At 37.9% G+C, this 16804-nt stretch overlaps 1 protein-coding gene across 3 annotated transcripts in view; it reads right to left on the minus strand.

Annotated features, from left to right (window-relative positions):
- The window catches only part of MAML2 (mastermind like transcriptional coactivator 2), a 366598-nt gene that overhangs the window by 15824 nt on the left and 333970 nt on the right, over positions 1-16804 (minus strand). The gene's annotated exons all lie outside the window — the stretch shown is intronic.

Consider the following 16804-nt stretch of genomic DNA (forward strand, 5'->3'; position numbering starts at 1 on the left):
CTTTCTAATTTGAGGTCTCTACCAATTTTTTGGCATTGACAGATCAGGACTCTGCAAGACAGTAAGCTAAACCCAGTTGAATATTCTCATTAATTCCCAATGATGTATTTAGGATTGAGCTCTACACTAGTACACTAGTAGGGTTACAAGAAGACTAGAAAATATGGTTATCACCTTAGAGAATTTATCACCCAAGTGAGGGAGAAATGCTTACATGTATAAATATAAGAAAATGTAAAATCAAATTTTAGTTTACATGATATAAACACTAAGTCAAAAATTGTTATACTTTGATCAGAATGATCTGGGAATCAGCTTATAAGGCAGATGCCCTGGCCTTGTCCCAGGGATTCTGAGGCTATAGATCAGGGTACCTCCTTAGGTTATTCTGATACTCATTGGTCCAGGGAATATGCTTTGGGAAACACTGAATACATGGGAACAAAAGAAATCCAACTCTCTCTTTTTTTTTTTTAAGAGACAGAGTCTCACTCTATTACCCAGGCTGGAGTGCAGTGGCATAATCATGGCTCACTGCAGCTTCAACCTCCCAGGCTCAAGCAGTCCTCCCACTTCAGCCTCCTAAAGTGCCTGGGACCACAGGCGTGCGCCACCTGGCTAATTTTTAAATTTTTTTTAGAGACAGGGTGGCTAATTTTTAAATTTTTTTTAGAGACGGGGTCTTACTATGTTGCCCAGGCTGGTCTCAAAGTCAAGGGCTCAAGTGATCCTAGATCCTTGGCCTCCCACAGTGCTGGTATTACAGGCATGAAGCACTGTGCCCAGAAAAAAAAAAAAAAAATCCATCTGTCATTCACCAACTAAACTATGTAAGGTTACAAGACATAAAAACATTAAGCAGGGAGTTGGGTGCGGTGGCTCATGCCTGTAAACCTAGCACTTTGGGAGGCCGAGGCAGGTGGTTCACCTGAGGTCAGGAGTTTGAGACCAGCCTGGCCAACATGGTTAAACCCCATCTCTACTAAAATATGAAAATTAGTTGGGTGTGGTGGCACATGCCTGTAATCCCAATTACTTACTCAGGAGGCTGAGGCATGAGAATCACTTGAACCTAGGAGGCAGAGGTTGCAGCGACCCGAGATTGTGCCGCTGCACTCCAGCCTGGGTGACAGAGCAAGACTCTGTCTCAAAACAAAAACAAACAAACAAAAAACCACAAAGCAACTCCCATGATACCACATGAGTAGAGGTGGTAGGTACACTGTTTGTGGAAATTATCTTTTTTATTTCTTTCTCTTTCTTTAACTATGTGCCGAGCTGAAATAAATAAACAAGTAAGTAAGTAAGCCACAAGCCGAAAGCCTTGGCCTTGCTTTAGTAATCTCTGAGGCTACAGAGCTCACCAGCTGCCTCAAAAGCAAAGGGTTACAAAATAATTCTAAGGGCGACCATCCACTGAGGCTTATTATCAGCCAGTCACTGTGGTCCGTGCTTTACGTGATTTATCTCATTCACTCCTCCCAACAAAACAATGAGCAAGAACTTGTATTATTAACCCAACTTTGCAGATGAGAAACCTGAGCTCAGAGAGATCACATAGCTGTAAGTGGCCGAGGAGGATTTGAAGCCAGGTCTGTCTGACCCCACAACTCTAGTTCTCAATCAGTACACTTTACTGCCTGTCACGTGAGACAGGAAGCATTGAGAAGAAAGATTTTTGTACTTTAAACCTGGGCCAACCCATCAGTTCATGCAGCACTCTTCCCAGGGTTGAGCACCCTCAGGTCAGGAAGGTGGAAAGAAGTGTGTTGGAGAGAAGGACAGGGGAGTGAGGACAGGGTGGGGAGATCCTCTTCACTAGTTAGTAAAAAATAATTACAGCCATCTCTGAGGTACATCCTTTGAGCAGCTTAAGGAAACCATCCTCTAATATATTTACACCCCTATGACCAGTCAGTTCTTTCAACTTTAAATCCATCATGAATTTCGGAGACTTCACCGCCTGTGTTCTATAAGCCACTAAGAATGTGGACTTGGAGACAAGTACTTGAGGGTCATTGACAGAATGGCAAATGAGGATCGGTGAGCTGAGTGTCTTGGAGGGCAAAAGGAGGAGGAAATACATGGAGGATTGGGGGCTGGGCCTTTTGGTGCACCCTGAGTAAGGACAGGGAAGCAGAGCCTGTGACAGGGGGAAAGAGGCAGGATCAGGGAAGCGTAAAGACAGCTGGAAGTGGTGGGGGAAGACATCAAGGTGGGAGAGAATGTATTGGAGATGGTAGTTTGCTTTCTACTCTCCACTTGAACCAGAATAGAAAGAGTCTGCTCTTTTCTTTGTTAGTTTGGAGTTTTATGTAAGACTTTCAAAAGAAGATTTTGTGTTTTTTTGTTTTGGTTTATTTTTTTAAGTAGCTGACAAGCATAGGTAGAAAAATTCAAAACACTTTTCTTTTCATCTTCTTTGCATTGCCATGCAATGGACAAGACCATAAGCTCCGGAGATAGGTCCACCTTGGTTCATACCCCAGTTCTGACACTTAGTTGTGTGATGTGGCAGAAGTTAATTCACCTCTCTAAGCCTCAGTTTTCTTATCTGTAAAAGGGAAATAATAACAGTATGGATGTCACAGTTTCCCTACAAGAGTTAGGGGAGATAATCCAATACCTACCACGTAGTAAGCACTTACTAAACAATAGCTGCTCATAATTATTAAAGTTATTTCTACACATAGGAACAATAGTCTGTTTACGTTTGTTTTCATTGTGAAACAAAGGAGATAGAACTCGCAGACTACAGAAAGCTGTTCTGTGTCAGGTCTCTGAGAAATGTAGAGGTCTCAGTTATATTGCAGATTATGAGCTGCCAGGGATTTGGGAAATTACCTTCATCCTCCTACTTGAAGATGCCAGAAGATGGGTGGGGTATCATTCTCTGATGGGCTGTCTTTTGGGGTGTGCTTCTTTCTTCTCAGTTAGGGGCTTAGCTCAGGTCTCTGTTAGCTTTGCTCTTTGCTGTTCTGGTTTTTATTCTTTTAACATCCAATTATTTATGCATAGTGCAATCATGTACATTTACTAAGTACCGTGCCTTAGTTTCCTCATTTGCAACATAAAGGTAATACATTAATTACCTAAAATTTAACAAGATGAATTTTAGAACAGTGCCAGGGACTTAGTAGAGATGTTTGATACACTTTAACTATTATTATTTTGTTATTTCTGTATTTTTAAATATTAGATGTTTTATATCCAATGAGTCTTATGAAGGAGCTCACACTGTAAGTGTACCTGGACTACAGATGTGGTGTGTTTGGCCCCCATCATGTTTGAAACACAAATTGCTCTTTTTGCTCTCCAGGTGGCCACAGCAGCCTCTACTATTCCTTACTTTATTATACCCACCCATTTTCCTCACTTCTATCATTTGCCTGGTCCATGTAGGCCATCTGAGTTTAAGATCTCTGGCATACAGTTTATCTGGGAAGATAAGCTACACATACCACACACTCCACATATCCACTCACCCAAAGTTATGACAACAAAAAGCAATGCATAATCATTTCCATTAGGTGGTATGATACCTACTAGTGTCTTAAGATTAAAACCCAGATCATGGCATACATTTACCTATGTAACAAACCTGCACATCCTGCACATGTACCCGGGAACTTAAAAGTTGAAGGAAAAATCAATCAATCAATCAATCAATCAATCTCAGATCACCTAATGCCTAGTCACCCATGAATCCATCAATCCATTAATGCATTTGACAAAGTATACTGAATGTCTACTCTGTGCTAGGCAGTTTTTTATTTTCTAGAGACCAAAATGTACTTAGAAATGGGGAAAATGAAGAGAAAGAAAAGAGGTAGACAGAGTGCTCAATGTTGGCAGAATTGATGAGCTCCAAAATAACTTCCAGAGAATTCTGGAAAACCAACCTTTTCTAAGATTTATAAAAGATCTGCATGCCAGGAAAATGTAACTATGTCTCTTTCTCTCTCTAATCAAACAGATAGACTGTGCTAAATGTAGTTTATTTCCTTCACGGTACCAAAAGATACTTTAGGACCCTTTTCCCTAGGGTCTGAAGGGTTTTCCAAATTTGAAACTGGTGCTTGGGTGAAGGGAGGTGCCCTGGTATGGAGGAAAGAATGAGATAAATCCTTTCTTGTAATTTTGTAAAAGATTTTTAAATCTTGTAGTTTCTAACTCATGGGTTTTACCATGTACCTACTATATACATTCTTTGAATTCATGATTGAAGTAATATTTCACTGCTCTTGCATTTTTTTGCCCTTATGTTTGCTGTAAAACACAAAACACCTCCTTATACAAGCTTGCTGTCATTGCCAACATGTTGTGCAAACTTTAGTACATAAAATAGTTTGAAAGAAAAAACTGCTTTGATGCATTGGCTTCGATTTTCATACTCAGCCTCACTCTTTGCCTTAAATTCAACCCATGTAGAACTTAATAGAAATCATCTGTTTTTTCCCCAACACACATTTTCTCCTGAAGGGCATATGAAGGCTGTGGTAAAAATCGCACATTCTCAGCTGATAGATGAGAGTATGTGTGTATGTGTGCATGCATGCATGTGTGTGATTGTGAAAGAATTAGGCTATTTCCATCTAGGTAGTCTTTCACATAATAGAAAACCCAGTTTTCTAGACAAACCGTAGTTAAAGATTGATTTGGCAGCAAGGAATAGTCAATGACTGGTTCAAATCATGAACTTGCATGATCTTTCATTTTACATGTTCTTTTTCTGTTTTTACCTACAAAATTACAGAGTTTGGTTCTAACCTACAAAATAGGTTTCGCATCCAATCCTCCTGGGTTTTAAATCAATTATGAGTGCACAATAACGTATATTTATTGTGTACTCCTAGATAGTTTTCCACGTTTGTGAGTGTGTGTGTGCATGCGCATTTGAGATTTTTAAAAGTCTTTTTATAGTATTAGTCCCTGAGATAGTGTAGCATGCCAGTGCTTAAGTATGGATAAAACTTCTTGGTCCCTGTTTTAACCCAGCACAGGACTGCCAGACCAATGAAAACATGTTTGTATTCTTTTTATAAGGTTCAATCAATCAACCTGTCTTTAGAATTATTAAGTTCACTGCATTCTTATTCATTAATTCAACAAGTATTTATTAAGCATTGCATTCTTCTGGGCCTTGGGGATAAAGCAGTAAAAAGATACTGAAGGGACTTCTCATGAACCTAAAACAAACAACATTTTTATGAGTTTTAGAATCATAATCGCTTAGTGGGATACACATCTTTTTCTCAAAATGCCATCCCAATCAAAAAGCATTTGAGATCTTCATTTCAATATTTCTGAGCTGTACACAAGTGGTCCCGAGCCCACTCTAAGGCCCACTGGTGAGCATCCTCTTCTTCTAAGGCTTTGGCCTTGTCATTAGAAATTCACTGCTCTGTCCCTAACCACTGCTAGTATTTAGTCATCCTATCTCTGCTCTTTTACTCTGAGAATGTTTTAAAATTATCTCAAATCAGTAGTGAAGATCTCATAATACAGTCATATATATATATATTTTTAAAATGTTTCCATCCTCATCTGTCATTTAAGAAGATGCTAGATATTCTTGATCAAACTGCTATACTCAAGAATTTTGGACTCAAACTCTATACAGATACTAGACTCTTTATATAGCAACAGCTTCCTTATATAGCAAAGCCTATATCTACCCATTTATCCACTTTTCTATCTATCTGTCTGTCTGTCTGTCAGTCTGTCTGTCTGTCTGTCTGTCTGTCTGTCTGTCTATCTATCTATCCACCCCATCCATCCATCTACGTACCCAACCTCCTTACCTGTCCATTCTAGTCCAAATCTCCAAAGTGCACTTTCTTCTACCACATCCCTAGCAAATGATCATTCAACCTCTGCTAAAATTACAGAAACATTCTTGATGTATTATTTGGAATGCTCTTCAGAACTCCAAGCTGCTATTCTTAACAGCATCTGAGCAAAGAAAATGCTTTGGACATGATGGGTTTCATTCATTCACTTATTTTCTAAAAAGTAGGTACTGACTAAGAATAACCTATGTCCTGGGCATTTCATCAGGTGCTAGAGAAATGGAGATAATTTGGACACAGTTCTTGTTTGCAACGCTTTTACCTCCAAGGAGAGGAGATAGTCATAGTCACACCCTGGATTGTGGGCAGTCTTATTAGGAGGGTAACAAAGTTCATGCAGCCTGCTGGAAAATCCTGCCACTTGACTATATTTTTAAGTTTTCCAACTGTGCTACTGATGGATCATTTATTTCCTAGAATGGTCTCAAGGATGTTAGGAGACCATTTGGTAAATCAGGTATATGATGACCGAATCTTTTAGCTTGAGGCAAATAAAACATGCTCACAAGTTAAGTAAGCTCACAAGGAAGCTGGATGCATGTTTTAACTTATGGAAAAAAATCTGGTTAAAAATGCTTTCCCCAATTTTTTACTTCATTGGTTTAATATCTTGCCTATGGATGACCATGGGAAGTACTAGCTCACTGAGGTTGCAATCTATGTCTACAAACCTGGGAGACAATTAGGAGAACACATGAACTCTTTTAAATGGGTACCCTTTTTCCTTAGAAGACAAATTACCTGTCCTCTGTGTTAATTGTGTTTCTCTCAAAGGCAGTTTGAAGTCCTTTTGTAAAAAAGTCCAAATTAAAAAATTAAGAACAAACCTCACTGTCCCAGCCTTCTACCAGTGTATTCACCACTAACCTTTTCTTTAAATTTTCTGGGATAAATATTTAAAGAAATAGTATGTGTGAAGAAAATCTTGTAAATCTATCCAAAATCTATCCAAAAGCAGAGGATAGGCCTGGCTACTAGGTGTTACTTTGATAAAGTGTCTCTGTAAATCATGGTCAATATGTGAGAGATCTTTAAAAAAGATGTTAACTAATAAAATCACTGGGACTACCTCTTTCTTTCATTTCAATGGAATTGTAAGGACTCTGTCAGGCAGGATTGATTTCAGCAAAAGGTAGAATGGGGTACAAAATATCCCTTGTTTCACTGAAGTATATACAGAAATAGTAAGACTCGTTGGATTCAGTCAGTTTTATAGTTAAAGCAGTTTTGTGGGCTGAACACTGACACAGTAACTTTCACAAAGTAGGCAAAGTTACCAGGCAGGTATTGTTCTCTTAATTAAAAAAAAAAAAAAAAGCTCTACAAAATATTTGTCTTGTTCTAGGCATTTGGGTAAAATAGCTCTCTGTTCCTCTTCACTTATTTTGGAAGGGGACTGTATAATGATTTTCCCCCCACAAAAATGAAGTAATGTAAATTACTTGAGATCCATGAGAGTATTTTGGCGTGGGATGACTGCCCTTTCTTTTTCTTGGCTTCTAGAGCTAGGCATCCGCAATTTGCAAAACAAATTCAAGATAAAATACCCAGCTGGGCAAGTCTGTACAGTAGATCTCACAAACTGGTTTGCTATTCAATCTTTCTTCTCCCTACCCACTTCTCTCTTTCCCTCTTTTTGTCTTTCTTTCCCTGTCTCAATGAACTAACTGCTCAACTGTTCCTCTCGGCTATTCATCTTCGGAACTGTCTGCCGATGAAGCCATTTATTTATCTCTGTGACTGAAAAACAAGTTGTCTGAACTGTTTCAGATTCCCAATAAGCTGGCAGGCCCACTTGCTCAAAGTTATTTATTTGGGGCATTAATAGTGAGGTGGTTGTGGGTGGCCAAAATAATTGAGCAGTTGTTGTTTAACACAGCAACGACAACAACAATGACAACAAAACAATTGTCAGGAAATCAGCCAGGAAACAGCTTGTAAACAGAAAAGGCTGAAGGGATGAAACTCTCCTATCTTCAGGTTACCAGATCTTTCAGTTTCTATTTCAAGGGTCAGCAAACTATGGCATGACGGCCTAATCCAGCCTGCCACCGTTTTTGGTAAATAAAATTTTATTGGAACACAGCCATACACATTCATTCATATGCCTGTGGCTGCTTTCCCACTATAATAACAGAGTTGAATAGTTGTGCCAGAGACCTACGGCACACAAAGCCTATAATATTTACTACCTGGCCCTTTACAGAAAAAGTTTCTTGACCCTTGCTGTACTTGGCTGTATTGGACAAATAATGTGAGATACTTTGGTCTTTCACATTAAATTTTAAAAATGCCTTAGATGAAGTACCCAGCAATCCTTTGAGATAACTGGCAAGTTGAAAATAAGAAATATTTATCATAAAATCTGTTTACATTAGCCTTCCACTTCAGTAACAATTACACACAGCAGGAACTAAAAAACAACTTACAGATCTTTCATCCAACTCTATTTTACAGATAAAGACGCTGCCCAGAAAGTTTAAGGAATTGACTTGCACAAGGTCACACACCTAACTGAGAGATGAGGAACACAGATCCCAAATCTGGGAAAATATATTAAGAAGAAATAAACAGAACAAAGTCTATTCGCTTGAAAGAATTGTAGCTTATCTGATATAACTTATTGGGGGTGAGAGGTTGGGTGGTGGAGATGAAGGTCAAGCTTGAAAAAACAGAAGAAAGTATTTGGTTTAGTATTCTTCTTTCCCCTTCACAATTGTGAATAGTAGCTGCTTTCCCCTTCTATTTAATAGGAAATTTTCTTTACTTGCTCAGTACCTTCTCCTGCACCGTGCAGAGAAACCCCAATCATATGTTTATAATGTTTATTTCAAATGATTAGAATGAATTTCATAGTCACTACAGAGTTTATCCTTCAGATGTTACCCAATTTTTAAGTCACCAGGACGCTGTGTCTATTCTCAGCCTCTGGGGTGGACACGTATTACGGGTTGGCACAGAGACCAGTTCCATGAGTGAGAAAGCAGCCTTCAGTGGGAGAGTGGCCAGGAACAAAACGTCAGTGGGTCAGGGTGGAGTGGGAAGAGTTTGGTAACTCAGGGGAAGGAATGAGAAATTTTTCTTAAAAGAGAAATTCTGCAACTTTAGAAGGATTCTTTGTGGCAGATTTCAAATTTCTGCTCTATAAGTTGGCTTTTAGCTTTCTGCCTCTAGAGCAGTGGTTTCAAACATTGATTTGGATCATAGTTCCTTTTGAGGATTTCACATAGCTATGGATTCTGCATCTCCTCCCATCCCCCAAACACATATACAACTAATAATTTTGTCTACAATTTCAGGGAGTTTACAAACTCTCTAAACATCCACAGATTATCCATAGAGCTCAGGTTGAGAACTCAACCCCCCCTCACTCCCCACCGCAAACGTTGGTATTTATGAAAGTAATAAAATGATTTTTCCCTTGGATACAGCCTCTACACTGTACTCCCAGCTTAAAATCATACATAGCTCTTCACTAACTTTGGGATCACGTCCTAACTCCCAAGAATGGTATAAAAGGCCTTCCATGATCTGGGCTCTGCATCTTTCTCCAGTATTATCTCTCAACACATCCTTTCCTCACCCTATACAATGGTGATACTAAACTACATGCAGTTCTCCAAACCCACAGAGCTCTTTCTCTTCTCCAAATTTTTGTAAATGGTCATATCCTCTCTGCCTGGAACACTCTTTCTCTGCCTTTTCCTACCAGGTGAACATCCTTTTTTTCTGGGCTCAACTCAGATGTAATTTTTTTTCAGGAAGCCTTCTCTGACCACTTAGAACTGAGTTAGGTGGCCCTCTCCTGTGCTTTTGTGAGACCCAGTACTGGCCCATTAGGCAGCCTTTGTCACTCTATATCACAATTGCTCATTTGCTTATACCTCTTTCCCATTTTAAGTGCTTTGAAGGCTGGGACATGTTCATTGTGAAATTCCCAGGGTATAGCAGACTCTCCATAGATGTTTTCTGAATTAAAAATATATGAATGATTGAAGAAGCAATGTGAAGGAAAAAATGAGGACAGAACTTCCTGCTGTGAGGCACATGGTGTGAAAATGTTGGCTCTTTCCAAAGGCAACTGGAAAACCAAAGTGGGGGAGAAAGGCAAAGGTTGAGCAACATTTTTGAAGCCAATGTTGTTTTTATGGGTGTGCCACCTTAGAAGGACCTTTGGCAAATAGAATGTCTTAGGAAAGAAAAGTTAGTGGTGAATGATGATGGAGATCATGATGACAATGACGATGATGATGGGGCTGATGAAGATGATGATGGGGATGATGAAGATGATGGGGATGATGAAGATGATGACAGGGATGATGAGGATGATGGGGATGAGGAGGATGGAGATGATGATGATGATGGGGATGATGAGGATGATGATGGGGATGATGAAGAATAATGATGGGGATGGTGGGGAGCATGATGGGGATGATAAGGAGGACGATGGGGGATGATAAGAAAGATGATCGGGATGATGAGGAGGATGATGAGGATGATGAGGATGATGAGGATGATGGGGATGATGAAGATGATGATGGGGATGATGAGGAGGATGATGGGGATGATGAGGAGGATGATGGGGATGATGAAATGATGATGGGGATGATGAGGAGGATGATGGGGATGATGAGAAAGATGATGGGGATAAGGAAGATGATGGGGATGATAAGAAGGATGATGGCGATGATGAAGATGGTGAGGATGATGATGGTGATGATGAGGATGATGATGGGGATGATGAAGATGATGATGGGGATGAGGAGGATGATGGGGATGATGAACATGATGATGGGGATGATGAGGAGGATGATGGGGATGATGAGGATGATGGGGATGATGAAGATGATTATGGGGATGAGGAGGATGATGGGGATGAGGAGGATGATGGGGATGATGATAAGGATGATGGGGATGATGATAAGGATGATGGGGATGATGAGGAAGATGATGTGCATGTGTTGGAAGGCAGGGAGAAGGCACACTGATGGAATAAGAGTTCTACTAGTATTAATACTTCTCATTTTTTGAAAGATAAATGCCAAGCCATGTGTTGAGGGCCTGCATTTTTTATCTTAATGAGTCCCCATAATAATTCTGTTTTAATTATTATTCACATTTTAAAGATAAGGAGATTCAAGTTACAGAACTTGTCTTTTTTCCCCACATGTATGCCTTTAAAATCAAAAGTACTTTAAAGGCGATTGAGCTTAGTAAACAAGATAATAAGCAAATATATATACATTTTAAAATCCCTCTGTTCAAAAAGGGATTTCAGTGAGTAGACAGCACTAGTGAAAGGTGGGTTCTGGGATCAGGCAGACCTGGGTTCAAATTCCAACTTTGGTTTTTTCTAAGTTGTATAGGGGTAATATTTAATAAATTTTACCTCCAATGATGATTAAGAACAAATAGCATAAAGTAAGTGAAGTATCTGGTATACAACAGATTCAAAACAAATATTAATATCTATACTTAAGTCAATTTGATATTAATTGAATATCATATAAATTTTCTGAATATCATACATATAACACAAGGCATTAGATTAAATAATATACAATTTCTGATCATCAGATAGTGATGGTAGCATAGTATTTATAGTAATACTAGTAATAAATCAACAAACAATAATTATCCAGAAATGTTCTCACTTAAACTTAGTAATAGCTGAGCATTACCACCACTGCCTCTACCAACTAAAACAAGATTAGGAAATTGTGTTTAAGAGTAATTTTATCTTTTGTTGAGTTTATTATATGAGTTGAATAAACTGTCAATCCCCTTTTCTTTTCTCTTTGGTAGGCTGTATATCAAGCCTATACTTTCTCTTCACAAAAGCAAAAGGATATACATTAGAAACTAGTTTTATACCATGAATTTTCCATTCCTCTAGAAATATTTGGAAAGTATTATGGTTTTGGGTAGGACAAGTTATCAACATTTTCTATTCTCATTAAAAATGAAGGCAATTCAGTAAATGAGTAGTGATGGAGTCTAAAGAGGGGTAAATGATACCACAGTTCCAAAGAAAGAAAATCACTTTTAAAGGGTTAGTTCTTAAATCAAAATGATGGCCAAATTATACATGAAACAAATCCGGAATAAAAAAATTGATTTCCAAAGATGGCTTCTTATACTCTATAAAACATATATGATCTCTCCTTTGGGAATAAAAAAAACCCAGTATGTAATTTTGACTCTGGAATTTCACCTTAATGACAATTGTATAGACTACTTTTGGCTGCTTGTTATACTCTTCAAGATAGCAAAGTGAGAAATCCAAGAAAATTCTCACATGTCTCATGTGATATCCCATGAGAATATATTGTAATGATGAAAAAAAATGGAGCTTTTGTAGTTAGAATGTCTGTGTGTAAATATTTGCTTCATAATTTACTAGTTGTTTTTCTTGGGCAAATTATACAATTTTGTATATTTTGACTTCTTGTCTATTATGGAAAAAATAATAGTGCCTTCCTCATGGAATTGCTGTATGGCTTGAATAAGATCATGTAAATAAAATATGTGACACAGTCTCTGGCCCCTATGAGGTGTTTGCTATGGTTTTAATAATGGCGTCTCCTCCAAAATTCCTGTTGAAACTTAATCCTCAGGGTAGTGGCACAAGAGGTGAGCCCTTATGGGAGGTGATCAAGTCATGAGGGCTCTGCCTCCTGACAGGGATTAGGTGCCCTTATAAAAGGGATTGAGAAAGTGAGTTCAGTCCCTTTTTGCTCTTCTACCTACCACCATGGAAGAATGCCATGATGAGAAGGCACCTAATCAGTGGAACAGGCCCTCACCAGACACAAATGCCAGTGCATTGATCTTGGACTTCACAGCCTCCGTAACAGTGAGAAATACATTTCTGTTCTTTATAAATTACCCATTCTGTGGTATTTTGTTATAACAGCACAAATGAACAAGACAGTTTCCAAGAAACATTAGCATTTATTTTAACTATTATCTGCTCTGACAATTTTTACTTCTTATCACGTATACTGACATTTAATTGATTCTTCTAGAAATCTGTTTATGTGAACTGTAAATCTTTTAAATTTTCAGTCTTCCCTTATGACTTCTCTAGGCCTTACTTTCTCCAACTTTAAGATATGGAAATTAGACTATAATTTCTCAATTCCACTCTAGTGCTAGAATAGTTGAAATTCCATTTTTATTTAATCAAAGGAACAATAAATACCACTGTGATGAAATAATTTGATTTTTTTTCTCATTGAGTCAAAAATACAAACTATCAACAAGAGATGCAAAGATTTTGCCTCTATAATGAACAAATAATAGATTGATCCAGTTGAGGGTGGAGAGTAGGGGATCAAGGTGGTTGTCTTCTGATGACATTGAAGTAAATACACTGAAGCTTGGGAATGGAAATGTTGAATAAATGTATTAGGCTGAATTCTGGACTGGATTTTCAAGGCATAAGGTAGAACTATACAGCTTTGGTAATAAGTTCTGACTTTTCTCAACTAATTCTAACAAAAGATTCATATTTTTCCCTAATACTATAAAAAGAATACAAAATATTTTGCCACAGATAATTTTTATGCTTTGAATCTCTCCATTCTGTACTAAAATATACAAAATGTATTAATCTGTAAAGTAACCTACAAATTTTGACATACTTTTTCTCATGAGAAATGAGAGAATGTCTCGGTTATTACAGGTTGTCTATTAGACATGGGAATCTAGGTGCACAAATATAGTGACTGTGGTCAATATCTTCCAATGTGTTTGTGTAGTCTAATGTGACATGATTGCTTTTTTGAATGTACTATTATAATGGACAGAAAGGACATTAGAAAAGGAGCCATCTGTTCTCTGTTAAATGTAGCTATGAAGTCTCTCTTGGATTAGCAAAGCAAGCCACTAAATACTTCAGTGAGACTTCAAAAAAGCTGAGTTCTCCCTAAGAATCACTAAGGGATGAACTTCAAAAGATTAGAGGTTTCACTTGGATCAAATCCCAGAAAATCAAGTTATTTACCAAATCTTATTTATGCAAACTATATAAACACATTTTGATCTGCAGGGTACCAAAATGATGTTTTAGAAAAATGATAACCTTAAATGAAAAGTCTACTGTGGAGAAGACTGAGGAAAGTCAACTTTTTTTTGGTCTGATTATTTTGTCTGTCTACATTGATCAAATAAGCGGTACAACTACTGCCAGATCTGATGCTACTCTGTGACTATGAACATAGAAAACAGTACCTAAATTTTTTATTAATTCTATTGGGAAATAAGATTGGAGTATCTTTTTTTTTTCTTTTTTTTTTTTAAGATGGAGTTTCGCTCTTGTTGCCCAGGCTGGAGTGCAGTGGCATGATCTCGGTCCACTGCAAGCTCTGCCTCCCAGGTTCAAGTGATTCTCCTGCCTCAGCCTCCCGAGTAGCTGGGATTACAGGCACGTGCCACCATACCTGGCTAATTTTTTGTATGTTTAGTAGAGATGGGGTTTCACCATGTTGGGCAGGCTGGTTTCAAAGTCCTGACCTCAGGTGATCCGCCTGCCTCGGCCTCCCAAAGCGCTGAGATTACAGGCGTGAGCCACCACGCCTGGCCAGGAATATCTTATACACACACACACACACACACACACACACACACACACACACACACGAGTATTTTAATGTTTTGTTTCTTTTTGTTTGGAATTACAAAGACTAGGTAGACTAGTAAGCCTAAATTATTTCTAGATATCAATCTTTTTTTTTATTATTTTTTTAGACAGAGTCTCACTCTGTCACCAGGCTGGAGTGCAGTGGCATGATCTCGGCCCACTGCAACCTCCCCCTCTTGAGTTCAAGTGATTCCCCTGCCTCAGCCTCCAGAGTAGCTGGGAATACAGGAGCGTACCACCATGTCCAGTTAATTTTTTTTTTTTTTTTGTATTTTAGTAGAGATGAGGTTTCACCATGTTGGCCAGGATGGTCTTGATCTCCCGACCTCGTGATCCACCCACCTCTGTCTCCCAAAGTGCTGGGATTACAGGCGTGAGCCACCATGCCCAGCTGATATCAATCATTTTTAAAGGCGTTTTTCTTCTATAAAGATTTCTAGTATATCTTTGGGTTCACAGAATGACTCTTTACATTAATTCATCAAAATAGAAAATTCAGAATAAGGCAGGTCTATCTTGGCACCTTTCCAACATAGGTAACTGGTATCACTTGGATCCTGCGAGACAAAATATGACTATATCTTGCATTATCTGCTAACGAATATATCAATTGTTTATTTACATGTATGTTTTCTTTTACTACATAGTGGTTATTTTAAGAATATGAACTGTTTTATTCAATTATGCACTCCTATTAGCATATATAAGCCTGATAGAAAGTAGATATTAAGTATATATTTGTTGTTAAGTAAACAACTAAATAATTACTTGAAAATCAGATAAACTTCATTTATAACATGATTTATAATTACTTAGATATTATTAAGAAAGTAACATTCTCAGTAAACTATCGCAAGAACAAAAAACCAAACACCGCATATTCTCACTCATAGGTGGGAATTGAACAATGAGATCACATGGTCACAGGAAGGGGAATATCACACTCTGGGGACTGTGGTGGGGTGGGGGGAGGGGGGAGGGGTAGCACTGGGAGATATACCTAATGCTAGATGACGAGTTAGTGGGTGCAGCGCACCAGCATGGCACATGTATACATATGTAACTAACCTGCACAATGTGCACATGTACCCTAAAACTTAAAGTATAAAAAAAAAAAAAAAATTTTTCAGTGAAATGACGAATATCAATATTACATATCATATAACAACATGTTTTACCTGGGAGTACTTATTAATGTCAGTTCAATATAATATATAAACCTTTTCATTTGTGATTAAAACCTTGAATGTAAATTCAACACACACAGATTTACGTGAACTTTTAACCTTTTTTTTCCTCAGCAATTTGGGTAGGTTGGTTGTATCGGATTCTAGTTACTTGTAACTGAAAACAGATCCTTGATTTGAACATAACTGTCCAGTGATTTTTCAATTTGGTAAACATTTGTGGCTTATGTTCCTCACTGCTGATCAGGAGAGAATGCAGGAAGGGAGACTGATATATCGTGCAGTTACCAATGTTTACATTGTTTTGTACTTTCCAGATTCATGTGGTGCTTTTTTAAAATGATATACATTTGGGACTGGAACAACTTTTCAGCTGCTGGCTGGATCCAAATAACAGTTCACTGAGTACATATCTGAACATTTCTAAATATTTAAATCAAAACTGTGACTAAATTTGAGCCAATTAGATCCTCTTTAGAATTTGAAAATATTGTTATCTAGCCATCCTCAGAAGAAAAACAAAAACAAGTTTTAAAAACAGCCCTCTTCTCCATAAAGTTAACAGAACTTGGGCCAAGCATGAGAAATGCCACACCACTGAGTATCATGGAAATTTAAAATCAGTCAACTATTTGCTTCATGTACATGTTGCCAAATAATTGGCCTAAAAATTATTTAACTAAACTAACGGAGTCAACTAGCTGTTTTGGTATAAAATGAACAGCTTGATTATCTCATCCCAGGACATGATTTCCTTGATAGATTTTTGGTTGAAGTTCATCATATTTATCTAACCCTTGCCAGGTATTCACTTCAGTTTTCTTCCTGAAGACACAGCTGTATTGACACCGCTGAAATTCTAGCATCATTTTTAAAAGTTGCTTTTTTCAAGGTATTGGGTAAGCAATAGTACTTCATTTGGGGAAGGTGTTATGTTAATAAATATTTTGAGAGTTAACTAAATGAAAGTATTTTGAGTTCTTTGGAGGCAAAATAATATTGTTAGATGTAATATTAATGTGCAATTGACTAGCCATATAGGTCATATGGAAGGAAGAACAATTCAGTTCCTTTAATCACTTAATGCTAACGATGGCCATTCGCATGTATAGCAGTCCTTC

Source organism: Homo sapiens, chromosome 11 (assembly GCF_000001405.40).
Source record: "Homo sapiens chromosome 11, GRCh38.p14 Primary Assembly".
NCBI lineage: Eukaryota > Metazoa > Chordata > Mammalia > Primates > Hominidae > Homo > Homo sapiens.